The 16567-nt window shown below is 44.5% G+C and overlaps 1 pseudogene; it reads left to right on the top strand.

Annotated features, from left to right (window-relative positions):
- Positions 14745-16173, top strand: RPL4P3 (ribosomal protein L4 pseudogene 3; annotated as a pseudogene).

The raw sequence follows: 16567 nt of genomic DNA, 5'->3' as shown, positions 1-16567 counted from the left end.
GTCATACTTAGTGTGTGCCCATCGAACACTAAAAACTGCTGTGGAGCAGTGACTATCAGCCTGCTTTTCAGCTGTCAGTGTAAGAAGGGATTCTGACTAGTAAGCAAAGTTACAGCTGAGCAGTCAGTGATAGTGCACTTACCCTATTTATTGAGTAATTGGGCCAGATCTCATCTGAGGATGTCTAAAAAGATGCACATGGACCTATGAGTAACATTGTAAAAACACAGAAAAGAGAACATCCTCCTGATCATTCCCAGCAACATACTAACTCTGTCTTCCTTAAAAAAACTCCATGTCATTTCTCCACTCCCCCCCGCCAAATTCCACTATATACATGTGTATGTGTATATATATATATAAAATATATGTATATATGTGTGTATATATATAAAATATATGTAAATATGTATATATATAAAATATATGTAAATATGTATATATATAAAATATATGTATATGTGTATATAAAATATATGTATATATATGCGTATATCTATATACACACACATCTACACATCCATCTTTTTTTTTTTTTTTTTTTAGAGGCAAGGTCTTGCTCCGTCATGTAAGCTGGAGTGCAGTGGCACAATCATAGCCCACTGAAGCCTTGAACTCCCAAGCCATCCTCCTGCCTCAGCCTCCCGAGTAGATGGGATTACAGGCATGAGCCAACATGACCAGCCCTCATTGCTATACATTTTTGATAATTGTCCTCTTCCTGACATATACTTTCCTGTGGCAGAATTTAGAGAGGCAGAATAGTATATGAGTTGTATAGTAGAAATAACATGGATGTGCCGGGCACGGTGGCTCACGTCTGTAATCCCAGCACTTTGGGAGGCCAAGGTGGGCGGATCACAAGGTCAGGAGATTGAGACCATCCTGGCTAACGCAGTGAAACCCCATCTCTACTAAAAATACAAAAAATTAGCCGGGCGTGGTGGCAGGCGCCTGTAGTCCCAGCTACTCTGGAGGCTGAGGCAGGAGAATGGTGTAACCCGGGAGGTGGAGCTTGCAGTGAGCTGAGATTGCGCCACTGCACTCCAGCATGGGTGACAGCAAGACTTCGCCTCAAAAAAAAAAAAAAAAAAAAAAAAAAAAAGAACATGGGTGCTGAAATCATGGGCTCTGGGTTTTTGTTTGTTTTTAGAGACGGGTTCTCACTATGTTGCCCAGGCTGGTCTTGAACTCCTGGGCTCAAGTGGTCCTCCCACCTTGGCCTCCCAAAGTGCTGGGATTACAGGAGTAAACTACCATGCCTGGCTGCAGAGGATTTTTTGTTTTGTTTTTGAGACAGGGTCTCACTCTGTCACCCAAGCTGGAGTACAGTGGCACAATCATAGCTCACTGCAGCCTTGAACTCCTGGGCTCAAGCAATCCTCCTGTCTCCTGTCTCAGTCTCACTTGTAGCTAGGATTACAAGTGCATGCCACCACGCCTGGCTCCACTCCGTATCTTTACTCCTCTTTATAGTAATAGTCCTTGACAGATTTCACTATACTTGCTATTTCCATTTTTTTTTTTTATTCTCCTCAACACTTTAGTCAAGATTTTGCCTCCATACTCCACCAGCCTTACTCTTGGGAGGTGCCCAGTGACCTATGTATTGCTAAATCCAGTGGTCCATTGTCAGTCCTGATCTCTGTGCAACAGCAGCATTTGATGCAGTTGATTACTCTCTTCTCCTTCATACATGCTTCCAGGGCTTTGTTTCTTCTTACCCTTATGGTTGTTCCTCCTGTTCTCCTCAACTCTTAATATTGGAGTATCCAGGATTCAGCTCTTGGTCCAGTGTTTACACACATTCTCTTAGAAATCTTACCTAATCTTGTCATTTGAAATCACATCTTTGTGCTGACAAATCTCAAGTTGTTGTCTCCCACTTGACTTCCCTTGAATTTGGAGTCATCTGGTACTCTTTTTGACGTCTTCATTATTTCAAGTTGAGCATGTCCCAAACGCATTCCAGTCTGCTTTCACAGACCTCCTCCACATGCATTCTGTCCCATCTCAGTTGATGGCAACTGAATCCTTCCAATTAGGCCAAAAACTGTAGAGTCATACTGACTCCATAACTTCTCTCTCAACTCACCTCTAATTCATCAGGAAATACTCTGGTGCTACCTTTAAGATATCTTTAGAATCTGACCAGTTCACACTGCCTCCATCGTGACCACCTGGTCCTCTCCTACCATCATCTCTTACCTGGAATACTGCAGTAGCTTTCTAACTGGTCTCAGGCTTCTACCATTCCCCCTCTTCCCAGAGTCTGTTCTCAACAGAATAGTGAAAAATTCTTTCAAAATGTAATCAGATCATGCCATTGCTTTGCTGAAAACTCTTCAGTGGCTTCCCATCTTCCTTGGAGTGAAAGCCAAAATTCTTTCCGTGGCCTACAGGGTCTCGTGATGCATCCCCAAGTCACCTTGCTGACCTCTGCCCTTGTCTTTGCCTTCCTTGCTGTGCTGCAGCCACACCAGCCTCTTTGCTGTTCCTCAGACACACCAGGTGTGCTCCTGCCATAGGCCTTGGACTTGCTGTTTCTCCTGCCAGAAAAGCCCTTCCTCCTCCTCAACCACTGTATGAAAGTCATTCTCTTGAATGACTTTCTCAAAATCTCCCCGAGTACACCATCCAATCCCTTTACCCTCTGTTTTTCCAGAGCATTCTAACATTCCAGAATTTTCTCTGATATATCCCAAACCACTCACTACAACAGCAATTGTCACAGTGAGTGCTCACATAATTACTGAATGTATTAATTATGTTGAAGATGTGAAGGAAGATGGTAGTTTTGAAAATGATGTACCAGGAGGGAGGAGCCAAGATGGCCGAATAGGAACAGCTCCAGTCTATAGCTCCCAGTGTGAGCGACGCAGAAGACGGGTGATTTCTGCATTTCCATCTGAGGTACCGGGTTCATCTCACTAGGGAGTGCCAGACAATGGGTGCAGGTCAGTGGGTGCGCGCACCGTGCACGAGCCGAAGCAGGGCGAGGCATTGCCTCACTTGGGAAGCGCAAGGGGTCAGGGAGTTCCCTTTCCTAGTCAAAGAAACGGGTGACAGATGGCACCTGGAAAATCGGGTCATCCCACCCGAATACTGTGCTTTTCCGACGGGCTTAAAAAATGGGGCACCAGGAGATTATATCCCGCACATGGCTCGGAGGGTCCTATGCCCACGGAGTCTCACTGATTGCTAGCACAGCAGTCTGAGATCAAACTGCAAGGCGGCAGCGAGGCTGGGGGAGGGGCGCCTGCCATTGCCCAGGCTGGCTTAGGTAAACAAAGCAGCCGGGAAGCTCGAACTGGGTGGAGCCCACCACAGCTCAAGGAGGCCTGCCTGCCTCTGTAGGCTCCACCTCTGGGGGCAGGGCACAGACAAACAAAAAGCAGTAACCTCTGCAGACTTAAATGTCCCTGTCTGACAGCTTTGAAGAGAGCAGTGGTTCTCCCGGTACGCAGCTGGAGATCTGAGAAAGGGCAGACTGCCTCCTCAAGTGGGTCCCTGACCCCTGACCCCCGAGCAGCCTAACTGGGAGGCACCCCCCAGCAGGGGCAGACTGACACCTCACACGGCCGGGTACTCCAACAGACCTGCAGCTGAGGGTCCTGTCTGTTAGAAGGAAAACTAATAAACAGAAAGGACATCCACACCAAAAACCCAACTGTACATCACCATCATCAAAGACCAAAAGTAGATAAAACCACAAAGATGGGGAAAAAACAGAGCAGAAAAACTGGAAACTCTTAAAAAGCAGAGCGCCTCTCCTCCTCCAAAGGAATGCAGTTCCTCACCAGCAAAGGAACAAAGCTGGATGGAGAATGACTTTGACGAGCTGAGAGAAGAAGGCTTCAGACGATCAAATTACTCTGAGCTACGGGAGGAAATTCAAACCAAAGGCAAATAAGTTGAAAACTTTGAAAAAAATTTAGAAGAATGTATAACTAGAATAACCAATACAGAGAAGTGCTTAAAGGAGCTGATGGAGCTGAAAACCAAGGCTCAAGAACTACGTGAAGAATGCGGAAGCCTCAGGAGCCTATGCGGTCAACTGGAAGAAAGGGTATCAGCGATGGAAGATGAAGTGAATGAAATGAAGCGAGAAGGGAAGTTTAGAGAAAAAAGAATAAAAAGAAACGAGCAAAGCCTCCAAGAAATATGGGACTATGTGAAAAGACCAAATCTACATCTGACTGGTGTACCTGAAAGTGACGGGGAGAATGGAACCAAGTTGGAAAACACTCTGCAAGATATTATCCAGGAGAACTTCCCCAATCTAGCAAGGCAGGCCAACATTCAGATTCAGGAAATACAGAGAATGCCACAAAGATACTCCTCGAGAGGAGCAACTCCAAGACACATAATTGTCAGATTCACCAAAGTTGAAATGAAGGAAAAAATGTTAAGGGCAGCCAGAGAGAAAGGTCGGGTTACCCACAAAGGGAAGCCCATCAGACTAACGGCGGATCTCTCGGCAGAAACTCTACAAGCCAGAAGAGAGTGGGGGCCAATATTCAACATTCTTAAAGAAAGGAATTTTCGCTCTCCCTCTCCCTCTCCCTCTCCCCACGGTCTCCCTCTCCCTCTCTTTCCACGGTCTCCCTCTGATGCCGAGCCGAAGCTGGACTGTACTGCCGCCATCTCTGCTCACTGCAACCTCCCTGCCTGATTCTCCTGCCTCAATGCCTGACTGGTTTTCATATTTTTTTGGTGGAGACGGGGTTTCGCTGTGTTGGCCGGGCTGGTCTCCAGCTCCTAACCAGGAGTGATCTGCCAGCCTCGGCCTCCCGAGGTGCCGGGATTGCAGATGGAGTCTCGTTCACTCAGTGCTCAATGGTGCCCAGGCTGGAGTGCAGTGGCATGATCTCAGCTCGCTGCAACCTCCGCCTCCCAGCCACCTGCCTTGGCCTCCCAAAGTGCCGAGATTGCAGCCTCTGCCCGGCCGCCACCCCGTCTGGGAAGTGAGGAGCGTCTCTGCCTGGCCACCCATCGTCTGGGATGTGAGGAGCCCCTCTGCCCGGCTGCCCAGTCTGGGAAGTGAGGAGCGCCTCTTCCCGGCCGCCATCCCGTCTAGGAAGTGAGGAGCATCTCTGTCCGGCCGCCCATCGTCTGAGATGTGGGGAGCGCCTCTGCCCTGCTGCCCCGTCTGGGATGTGAGGAGCACCTCTGCCCGGCCGCGACCCCGTCTGGGAGGGGAGGAGGGTTTTTGCCCGGCCGCCCCGTCTGAGAAGGGAGGAGCCCCTCCGCTTGGCAGCTGCCCCGTCTGAGAAGGGGGGAGGGTTTCTGCTTGGCAGCCGCCCCGTCCGGGAGGGAGGTGGGGGGTCAGCCCCCGCCCGGCCAGCCGCCCCGTCCGGGAGGGAGGTGGGGGGTCAGCCCCCGCCCGGCCAGCCGCCCCATCCGGGAGGGAGGTGGGGGGTCAGCCCCCGCCTGGCCAGCCGCCCAGTCCGGGAGGGAGGTGGGGGCCAGCCTCTGCCCTGCCGCCGCCCTGTCCGGGAGGTGGGGGGTGCCTCTGCCCGGCCGCCCCTTCTGGGAAGTGAGGAGCCCCTCTGCCCGGCCACCACCCCATCTGGGAGGTGTACCCAACAGCTCATTGAGAATGGGCCATGATGACGATGGCGGTTTTGTTGAATAGAAAAGGGGGAAATGGGGGGAAAAGATAGAGAAATCAGATTGTTGCTGTGTCTGTGTAGAAAGAAGTAGACATAGGAGACTCCATTTTGTTCTGTACTAAGAAAAATTCTTCTGCCTTGGGATGCTGTTGATCTATGACCTTACCCCCAACCCGGTGCTCTCTGAAACATGTGCTGTGTCCACTCAGGGTTAAATGGATTAAGGGCAGTGCAAGATGTGCTTTGTTAAACAGATGCTTGAAGGCAGCATGCTCGTTAAGAGTCATCACCACTCCCTAATCTCAAGTACCCAGGGACACAAACACTGCGGAAGGCCCCAGGGTCCTCTGCCTAGGAAAACCAGAGACCTTTGTTCACTTGTTTATCTGCTGACCTTCCTTCCACTATTGTCCTATGACCCTGCCAAATCCCCCTCTGCGAGAAACACCCAAGAATGATCAATTAAAAAAAAAAAAGAAAGAAAAGAATTTTCAACCCAGAATTTCATATCCAGCCAAACTAAGCTTCATAAGTGAAGGAGAAATAAAATACTTTACAGACAAGCAAATGCTGAGAGATTTTGTCACAACCAGGCCTGCCCTAAAAGAGCTCCTGAAGGAAGCGCTAAACATGGAAAGGAACAACCGGTACCAGCCACTGCAAAATCATGCCAAAATGTAAAGACCATCAAGACTAGGAAGAAACTGCATCAACTAACAAGCAAAATAACCAGCTAACATCATAATGACAGGATCAAATTCACACATAACAATATTAACTTTAAATGTAAATGGACTAAATGCTCCAATTAAAAGACACAGACTGGCAAATTGGATGAAGAGTCAAGACCCATCAGTGTGCTGTATTCGGGAAACCCATCTCACATGCAGAGACACACATAGGCTTAAAATAAACGGATGGAGGAAGATCTACCAAGCAAATGGAAAACAAAAAACGGCAGGGGTTGCAATCCTAGTCTCTGATAAAACAGACTTTAAACCAACAAAGATCAAAAGAGACAAAGAAGGCCATTACATAATGGTAAAGGGATCAATTCAACAGGAAGAGCTAACTATCCTAAATATATATGCACCCAATACAGGAGCACCCAGTTTCATAAAGCAAGTCCTGAGTGACCTACAAAGAGACTTAGACTCCCACACATTAATAATAGGAGACTTTAACACCCCACTGTCAACATTAGACATATCAACAAGACAGAAAGTCAACAAGGATACCCAGGAATTGAACTCTGCTCCGCACCAAGCAGACCTAATAGACATCTACAGAACTGTCCACCCCAAATCAACAGAATATACATTTTTTTCAGCACCACACCACACCTATTCCAAAATTGACCACATACTTGGAAGTAAAGCTCTCCTCAGCAAATGTAAAAGAACAGAAATTATAACAAACTATGTCTCAGACCACAGTGCAATCAAACTAGAACTCAGGATTAAGAATCTCACTCAGAACCACTCAACTACATGGAAACTGAACAATCTGCTCCTGAATGACTACTGGGTACATAACGAAATGAAGGCAGAAATAAAGATGTTCTTTGAAACCAATGAGGACAAAAACACAACATACCAGAATCTCTGGGACTCATTCAAAGCAGTGTGTAGAGGGAAATTTATAGCGCTAAATGCCCACAAGAGAAAGCAGGAAAGATCCAAAATTGACACCCTAACATCACAATTAAAAGAACTAGAAAAGCAAGAGCAAACACATTCAAAAGCTAGCAGAAGGCAAGAAATAACTAAAATCAGAGTAGAACTGAAGGAAATAGAGACACAAAAAACCCTTCAAAAAATTAATGAATCCAGGAGCTGGTTTTTTGAAAGGATCAACAAAATTGATAGACCGCTAGCAAGACTAACAAAGAAAAAAAGACAGAAGAATGAAATAGATGCAATAAAAAATGATAAAGGGGATATCACCACCGATCCCACAGAAATACAAACTACCATCACAGAATACTACAAACACCTCTACGCAAATAAACTAGAAAATCTAGAAGAAATGGATAAATTCCTCGACACATACACTCTCCCAAGACTAAACCAGGAAGAAGTTGAATCTCTGAATAGACCAATAACAGGATCTGAAATTGTGGCAATAATCAATAGCTTACCAACCAAAAAGAGTCCAGGACCAGATGGATTCACAGCCGAATTCTACCAGAGGTACAAGGAGGAACTGGTACCATTCCTTCTGAAACTATTCCAATCAATAGAAAAACAGGGAATCCTCCCTAACTCATTTTATGAGGCTAGCATCATCCTGATACCAAAGCCGGGCAAAGACACAACCAAAAAAGAGAACTTTAGACCAATATCCTTGATGAACATTGATGCAAAAATCCTCAATAAAATACTGGCAAACTGAATCCAGCAGCACATCAAAAAGCTTATCCACCATGATCAAGTGGGCTTCATCCCTGGGATGCAAGGCTGGTTCAATATATGCAAATCAATAAATATAATCCAGCATATAAACAGAACCAAAGACAAAAACCACATGATTATCTCAAGAGATGCAGAAAAGGCCTTTGACAAAATTCAACAACCCTGCAAGCTAAAAACTCTCAATAAATTAGGTATTGACGGGACGTATCTCAAAATAATAAGAGCTATCTATGGCAAACCCACAGCCAATATCATACTGAATGGGCAAAAACTGGAAGCATTCCCTTTGAAAACTGGCACAAGACAGGGATGCCCTCTCTCACCACTCCTATTCAACATAGTGTTGGAAGTTCTGGCCAGGGCAATTAGGCAGGAGAAGGAAATAAAGGGTATTCAATTAGGAAAAGAGGAAGTCAAATTGTCCCTGTTTGCAGATGACATGATTGTATATCTAGAAAACCCCATTGTCTCAGCCCAAAATCTCCTTAAGCTGATAAGCAACTTCAGCAAAGTCTCAGGATACAAAATCAATGTACAAAAATCACAAGCATTCCTATACACCAACAACAGACAAACAGAGAGCCAAATCATGAGTGAACTCCCATTCACAATTGCTTCAAAGAGAATAAAATACCTAGGAATCCAACTTACAAGGGATGTGAAGGACCTCTTCAAGGAGAACTACAAACCACTGCTCAAGGAAATAAAAGAGGATACAAACAAATGGAAGAACATTCCATGCTCATGGGTAGGAAGAATCAATATCGTGAAAATGGCCATACTGCCCAAGGTAATTTACAGATTTAATGCCATCCCCATCAAGCTACCAAAGACTTTCTTCACAGAATTGGAAAAAACTACTTTAAAGTTCATATGGAACCAAAAAAGAGCCCGCATCGCCAAGTCAATCCTAAGCCAAAAGAACAAAGCTGGAGGCATCACACTACCTGACTTCAAACTATACTACAAGGCTACAGTAACCAAAACAGCATGGTACTGGTACCAAAACAGACATATAGATCAATGGAACAGAACAGAGCCCTCAGAAATAACGCCGCATATCTACAACTATCTGATCTTTGACAAACCTGACAAAAACAAGCAATGGGGAAAGGATTCCCTATTTAATAAATGGTGCTGGGAAAACTGGCTAGCCATATGTAGAAAGCTGAAATGATCCCTTCCTTACACCTTATACAAAAATCAATTTAAGATGGATTAAAGACTTAAATGTTAGACCTAAAACCATAAAAACCCTAGAAGAAAACCTAGGCATTACCATTCAGGACATAGGCATGGACAAGGACTTCATGTCTAAAACACCAAAAGCAATGACAACTAAAGCCAAAACTGACAGATGGGACCTAATTAAACTAAAGAGCTTCTGCACAGCAAAAGAAACTACCATCAGAGTGAACAGGCAACCTACAAAATGGGAGAAAATTTTCGCAACCTACTCATCTGACAAAGGGCTAATATCCAGAATCTACAATGAACTCAAACAAATTTACAAGAAAAAAACAAACAACCCCATCAAAAAGTGGGCAAAGGACATGAACAGACACTTCTCAAAAGAAGACATTTATGCAGCCAAAAAACACATGAAAAAATCCTCACCATCACTGGCCATCAGAGAAATGCAAATCAAAACCACAATGAGATACCATCTCACACCATTTAGAATGGCAATCATTAAAAAGTCAGGAAACAACAGGTGCTGGAGAGGATGTGGAGAAATTGGAACACTTTTACACTGTTGGTGGGACTGTAAACTAGTTCAACCATTGTGGAAGTCAGTGTGGCAATTCCTCAGGGATCTAGAACTAGAAATACTATTTGACCCAGCCATCCCATTACTGGGTATATACCCAAAGGACTATAAATCATGCTGCTATAAAGACACATGGACATGTATGTTTATTGCAGCATTATTCACAATAGCAAAGACTTGGAACCAACCCAAATGTCCAACAATGATAGATTGGATTAAGAAAATGTGGCACATATACACCATGGAATACTATGCAGCCATAAAAAATGATGAGTTCATGTCCTTTGTAGGGACATGGATGAAATTGGAAATCATCATTCTCAGTAAACTATCGCAAGAACAAAAAACCAAACACCGCATATTCTCACTCATAGGTGGGAATTGAACAGTGAGAACACATGGACACAGGAAAGGGAACATCACACTCAAGGGACTGTTGTGGGGTTGGGGGAGAGGGGAGGGATAGCATTGGGAGATATATCTAATGCTAGATGACGAGTTAGTGGGTGCAGCGCACCAGCATGGCACATGTATACATATGTAGCTAACCTGCACATTGTGCACATGTACCCTAAAACTTAAAGTGTAATAATAATAAAGAAAAAAAAGGAAAAAAAAAAAAGAAAGAGATGCGTGTGTACAAAAAAAAAAAATGATGTACCACAAGAACTAAATTGATTTTGAGCACCTCAGCATCTGCAACAGGATGAAACCGATGCTTTTGGAATTCAGAAAGTCATAAAGAGAGAAAAGGCAAGAAAAGAAGTACAATTAAATGTGTTATGTATACAGTTAGGTCAGCCAAAAGGGGAGCAAGTTAAAATAATTTGCCAGGAAACAAATTGCAACACAAACATTAAGCCCTTCACTGAAGCAGTGAGGAGTAGAATTGATTGAAGAAAATCAGTGATGCAGAAGAGAGGTTCAAGAAGCTGCCACTGAACACAGAGGAAAAACATCAAAACTGTAAATGGACAGTGTGATGTTAGATCTAGGAGACCAAAAAAAAAGGCCTACTAAGAATTACATAGTGTTCCTGTGGAAGAAATCCAAAAAGAGTGAAACAGAGCAATCATCAGAAACATTATTCTTTGATGTATTCTTTAATGAAAACTTAAGTTTTAATAAAGTCCTTCAGGAGAAAAAAAAATTATCAAAAGACACATTAAGTTACCTTGTAGTAGAGTATATGAATAGTAAGATTAAAGGGGTAAATTCTATAAGCATTGAGACCTGAAAAATGTGTTACCTACAAGGAAGCAAAAATTAAGCTTGCCTCCATCTTTTCTGCCACTGAATTATAGAATACTAAAACAGCATCTGTAGATTTTTGAGAGGATACAGCTGTGACTCAAGAATTTTTATACCAAACCAGTTGTCACTTAAGAATGAAAACCAGGCCAGGCACGGTGACTCAAGCCTGTAATCCCAGCACTTTGGGAGGCCAAAGCAGACGGATCACGAGGTCAGGAGATCGAGACCATCCTGGCTAACACGGTGAAACCCCATCTCTACTAAAAATACAAAAAAAAAAAAAAATTAGCCAGGTGTGGTGGAGGGCACCTGTAGTCCCAGCTACTCAGGAGGCTGAGGAAGGAGAATGGCGTGAACCCGGGAGGTGGAGCTTGCAGTGAGCCGATATCGTGCCACTGCACTCCAGCCTGGGCGACAGAGCCAGACTCCATCTCAAAAAAAAAAAAAAAAAAAAAGAAGAATGAAAACCATTGAGGATTCTATGGACCATTGGAAAATTTTTTAAAAAGAATGCAAACCAGGCTGGGCTCAGTGGCTCTCACCCGTAATTCCAATACTTTAGGAGGCTGAAGCAGGAGGATCACTTGAGCCCAGGAGTTTGAGACCAGCCTGGGCAACACAGTGAGAACCTGTCTCTACAAAAACTAAAAAAAGTAGCCAAGCATGGTGGCGCATGCCTGGAGTCCCAGCTACTCAGGAGGCTGAGGTGGGAGAATCATTTGAGCTCTGGAGGTCAAGGTTGCAGTAAGCCATGATGGCACCACTGCATTCCAGCCTGGGTGACAGAGCAAGACCCTGTCTTTAAAAAGAAAAAAAATGAAAACCACAAACACAATATTCTTAAAAATATGAGAGTTCAGAAAACATAACGTCCTTGTCTCTTTTCTTGATAAAAATTACTGGAAAATTTACATTATACTGGCAGCTAAGGGAGAAATCAAAATTGAGAGTTCAAAAACAGATAATTCTTCTACTTGAAACCCTTTGATGAAGTCTCATTGCACTTACAGTGAAAACTGAACTGCTTACCTTCCTTGATCTCATCAGTTGCTGCCAGGGTAGCATTCTGTTTTACATCACAGCACACTCAAAATAATTCAAGGAGAATTTAATAAAGGTAAATTTATAAAGGTAGTAGGGCTTAAAGAAACTACAAAGGATAGTACACCTTGAAGGGTTGAGGGAAGGCAGAGGTTACTAAAACCTGGAAGGACAAAGTCACATGCAGAGGGCTACCTTGACTTTTGGCCAGGGGATGCAGCCAGCCTAAGGTGATCTTACAGGGAGGATGCCAGGGGAATAAATACCCTGGCCTAGTTGTTGTTTTATTCCCTGTGACCTGATGCTAGGACTCCGCTTTTTTTTTTTTTTTTTTTTTTTTGAGACAAAGTCTCACTCTGTCGCTCAGGCTGGAGTGCAGTGGTGCAATCTTGGCTCACTGCAAACTCCGCCTCCCAGGTTCAAGCGATTCTCCCACTTCAGCCTCCTGAGTAGCTGGAATTACAGGCACGTGCCACCACACCAGGCTAATTTTTGTATTTTTAGTAGAGATGGAGTTTCAACATATTGGCTGGCCAGCCCAGTCTCAAACTCTTGACCTCAAGTGATCCCACCTCGCCCTCCCAAAGTGCTGGGATAACAGGCATGAGCCACCACACCCAGCCAGACTCCCCTATTTTTGAACCCCATTGAAAAACAAAGGGCAAGGAATCCTAGCGGTGTAAGCCACACCGGTCACCATCCTGAAAGGAGGGTAGAAAGTGCATCTGATGCCCAGATTCCATTCCCCAGCTATTATTGTGGATGTTGTTAACGTTGGCTGCCAATGGCTCACATTTGCCCCCTTCTCTGGAGAACTGCTGTCAGCCAATGGGAGCCACCTCACCTCTGAATTATGTCCCATTCCTGGAGGTACCTTGGAGCCAATGGTAGACTGATATTGGGGTCAAAAAGGCTGAACCCCTTATCTGAAGGTGGGACAACTCCATGTTGTGATATATGCTTCAGATGCCACACACACCCTTGAATCTGGCCAAGGCTAGACTTTACCTGAGACCATTTTTGCTTGGCCCTTTCCCTTCATTGTCTTGCATCTCTTAGTCTCTTAGATAGTTGAACACTCCTTCAATAAATCACATGTACCTGAATCCCTGTAGCCAACTGTTTCTAAAGAGCCCAACTGAAGAGGGTTAGTACCAGTATTGGTCCCAGAAAACAGGTTCTAAGGATGGGATTCTGGAATTAGATCACCCACTGAAGAGAGAGCAATAAGGATCACATCACTGGTGGTAGGTGGGGTAAGTACTGATATCAGTAGTCTCTGACATGCAGTAGCAGTGCCATTCATTGCTAAAGTGTTCACCTCTGGTGAAGTGAGAGGGATACAAGTAGAGGGGAATGTGAAAGTCATGCCATCTCTGGCATTTGAGAGGAACAGGAGATACGGTCATTTTAAGGATTTTGACATGGAGCGGCTGCTGCTAAACTCCATTCTTAGCTTGGAAAAAAAGAAAACGACAGATGTGACAGATGCAGGGCAATCAATTGTGAATTTAAAGCAAGATATGAGAATCAGAGATCTCTAATTCTCTAATGGAGAGTAGTTAAAGAGACCTTTATTTCCTGAAGCTGAAGAGCAGAGAGAGTTGAAGACCAGGCCCAGAATTAGTTTTAAGGTGGCAGAATTTCAAAGAAGGATGAATTTTCGGCCTCAGCAAGTTTCCTATGCCAAAGTCAGGATCTTGTTAGGGAAAGAACAGGGCCTAGAGACTTGGGATGGGATATCTGGGTAGTCGCCCCTAAGGGTCTTTCTTTTCCTTTTTTTTTTTTTTTTTTTTGAGACAGGATTTCACTCTGTTGCCTAGGCCGGAATGCAGTGGCACCATCACAGCTCACTGCAGCCTCAACATCCTGTGTTCAAGCAATCCTCCTGCCTCAGCCTCCTGAGTAGTCAGGTCTACAGGCACATGCCACCATGCCCAGCTAATTGTTTTGTTTTTTATTGAGATGAGGTCTTGCTATGTTACTTAGGCTGATCTCAAACTCCTGGGCTCAAACAATCCTTCTGCCTCAGCTTCCCAAAGTGCTGAGATTACAGACATGAGTCACTGCACTCAGCCTACTTGAGGATCTTGAATGCTCAGATTCCCCAGAACTCCCTGGACCTGCAGAAGTGGCCCAGTCCCCCTTGTTGAAACATAAAACCCCATTTCCCCCTTCACTCTTGCTTGCTTGAAAGCTATTCAGTAGCCTCAAAACAAGGCAAGTAACTTCCAGGAGGATGCTGGCCCATCTCAGGATCTGCCCTCTACTACCTACCTGGCCACCAGACCCATAACCCCTCTGGAATCAAGGCTCAAGAGAGAAGTTTAATGATTTGCCCGGCACTTACACAGGTGATGTGTGACAGAGGCGAGGCTGTAATCCAAAGTGGAACAAGTGATCAGATTCTTTACGGGAAGCTGCAGACACTAAGGCAGTTTTCCTTTCTAAATAAATCTCTCAGACTTTCACTGAGTCAATAGAGATGGGAAACAGGTGATAAACAAGTATCATACACTCAGATTATTAAGTTACTACCCAGTCCATTTTTTTCATTAACCTTCTTTCCCATATGTAAGGCTGGCTACATAATTTCCAGGACCCAACGCAAAATTAAAATGTGGGGCACATTTTTAAAAGCACAGAGAACTTTGCCTGTGGCAACAGCCATGGTGAGAGGAGCGTGGCTCTCTCCTCTCCACCATGGCATGTGCTCGCCTACTAATATCGGTGTACTCTGAAAGTGGGGAGTCATCTGGCAAAAATGTCACTTTGCCTGCTGTATTCAAGGCTCCTATTCGACCAGATATTGTGAACTTTGTTCACACCAACTTGCACAAAAACAACAGACAGCCCTATGCTGTCAGTGAATTAGCAGGTCGTCAGACCAGTGCTGAATCTTGGGGTACCGGCAGAGCTGTGGCTCAAATTCCCAGAGTTCAAGGTGTTATGGGACTCACCATTCTGGCCAGGGTGCTTCTGGAAACATGTGTTGTGGAGGCCGAATGTTGGCACCAACCAAAACCTGATGCCGTTAGGATCATAGAGTGAACACAACCCAAAAATGATATGCCGTCTGTTCTGCCCTGGCTGCCTCAGCCTTATCAGCACTGGTCATGTCTAAAGGTCATAGTATTGAGGAAGTTCCTGAACTTCCTTTGGTAGTCGAAGATAAAGTTGAAGGGTACAAGAAGACCAAGGAGGCTGTTTCGCTTCTTAAGAAATTTAAAGCCTGGAATGATATCAAAAAGGACTATGCCTCTCAGCGAATGAGAGCTGGCAAGGGCAAAATGAGAAACCGTCATTGTATCCAGTGCACAGGCCCCTACATCATCTATAATGAGGATAATGGTATCATCAAGGCCTTCAGAAACATCCCTGGAATTACTCTGCTTAATGTAAGCAAACTGAACATTTTGAAGCTTGCTCCTGGTGGGCATGTGGGACTTTTCTGCATTTGGACCAAAAGTGCTTTCCAGAAGTTAGATGAATTTAATGGCACTTGGCGTAAAGCTTCTTCTCTCAAGAGTAACTACAATCTTCCCATCCATAAGATGATCAATACAGATCTTAGCAGAATCTTGAAAAGCCCAGAAATCCAAAGAGCCCTTTGAGCACCACGCAACAAGATTCATCGCAGAGTCCTAAAGAAGAACCCACTGAAAAACCTGAGAATCATGTTGAAGCTAAACCTACATGCAAAGACCATGCATGTGTCAGAACACCATTCTTCGCCAGGCCAGGAATCACAAGCTCTGGGTGGATAAGGCAGCAGCAGCAGCTGAAGCACTAGAAGCCAAATCGGATGAGAAGGGGGTTGCAGGCAAGAAGCCTGTGGTAGGTAAGAAAGGAAAGAAGATTGCTGTTGGTGTTAAGAAGCAGAAGAAACCTCTGGTGGGAAAAAAGGCAGCAGCTACCAAGAAACCAGTCCCTGAAAAGAAGCCAGCAGAAAAGAAACCTACTACAGAGGAAAGAAGCCTGCTGCATAAACTCTTAAATTTGATTATTCCATAAAGGTCAAATCATTTTGGACAGCTTCTTTTGAATAAAGACCTGATCAAAGAGGCAGTGAGAAAAAAAGAGCATGGAAAAAATGATGTTAAAGTACCAACATATAAGACATTTTCCTTTAAAAATGTTTTTATTAATTACAAAGCATAATAGGGTCAACATCAATAATTATTAGGGAAATCAAAATCAAAATCACAATGAAATACTACCTCATGCCGGGCATGGTGACTCATGCCTGTAATCCCAGCACTTTGAGAGGCTGAGGCAGGCTGATCACTTGAGGTCAGGAGATGGAGACCAGCCTTGCCAACATGGTGAAAACCCATCTCTACTAAAAATACAAAAATTAGCCAGGTGTAGGGGTACGCCCCTGTAGTCCCAGCTACTCATGAGGCCAAGGCAGGAGAATCGGCTACTCATGAGGCTGAGGCTTGAACCCAGGAAGTGGAGTTTGCAGTGAG

The sequence above is a fragment of the Homo sapiens genome, chromosome 1, assembly GCF_000001405.40.
Source record: "Homo sapiens chromosome 1, GRCh38.p14 Primary Assembly".
In the NCBI taxonomy this organism is placed as follows: Eukaryota; Metazoa; Chordata; class Mammalia; order Primates; family Hominidae; genus Homo; species Homo sapiens.
The sequence above is the reverse complement of the archived record's forward strand: the minus strand, read 5'-3'. Positions and strand labels throughout refer to the sequence as shown.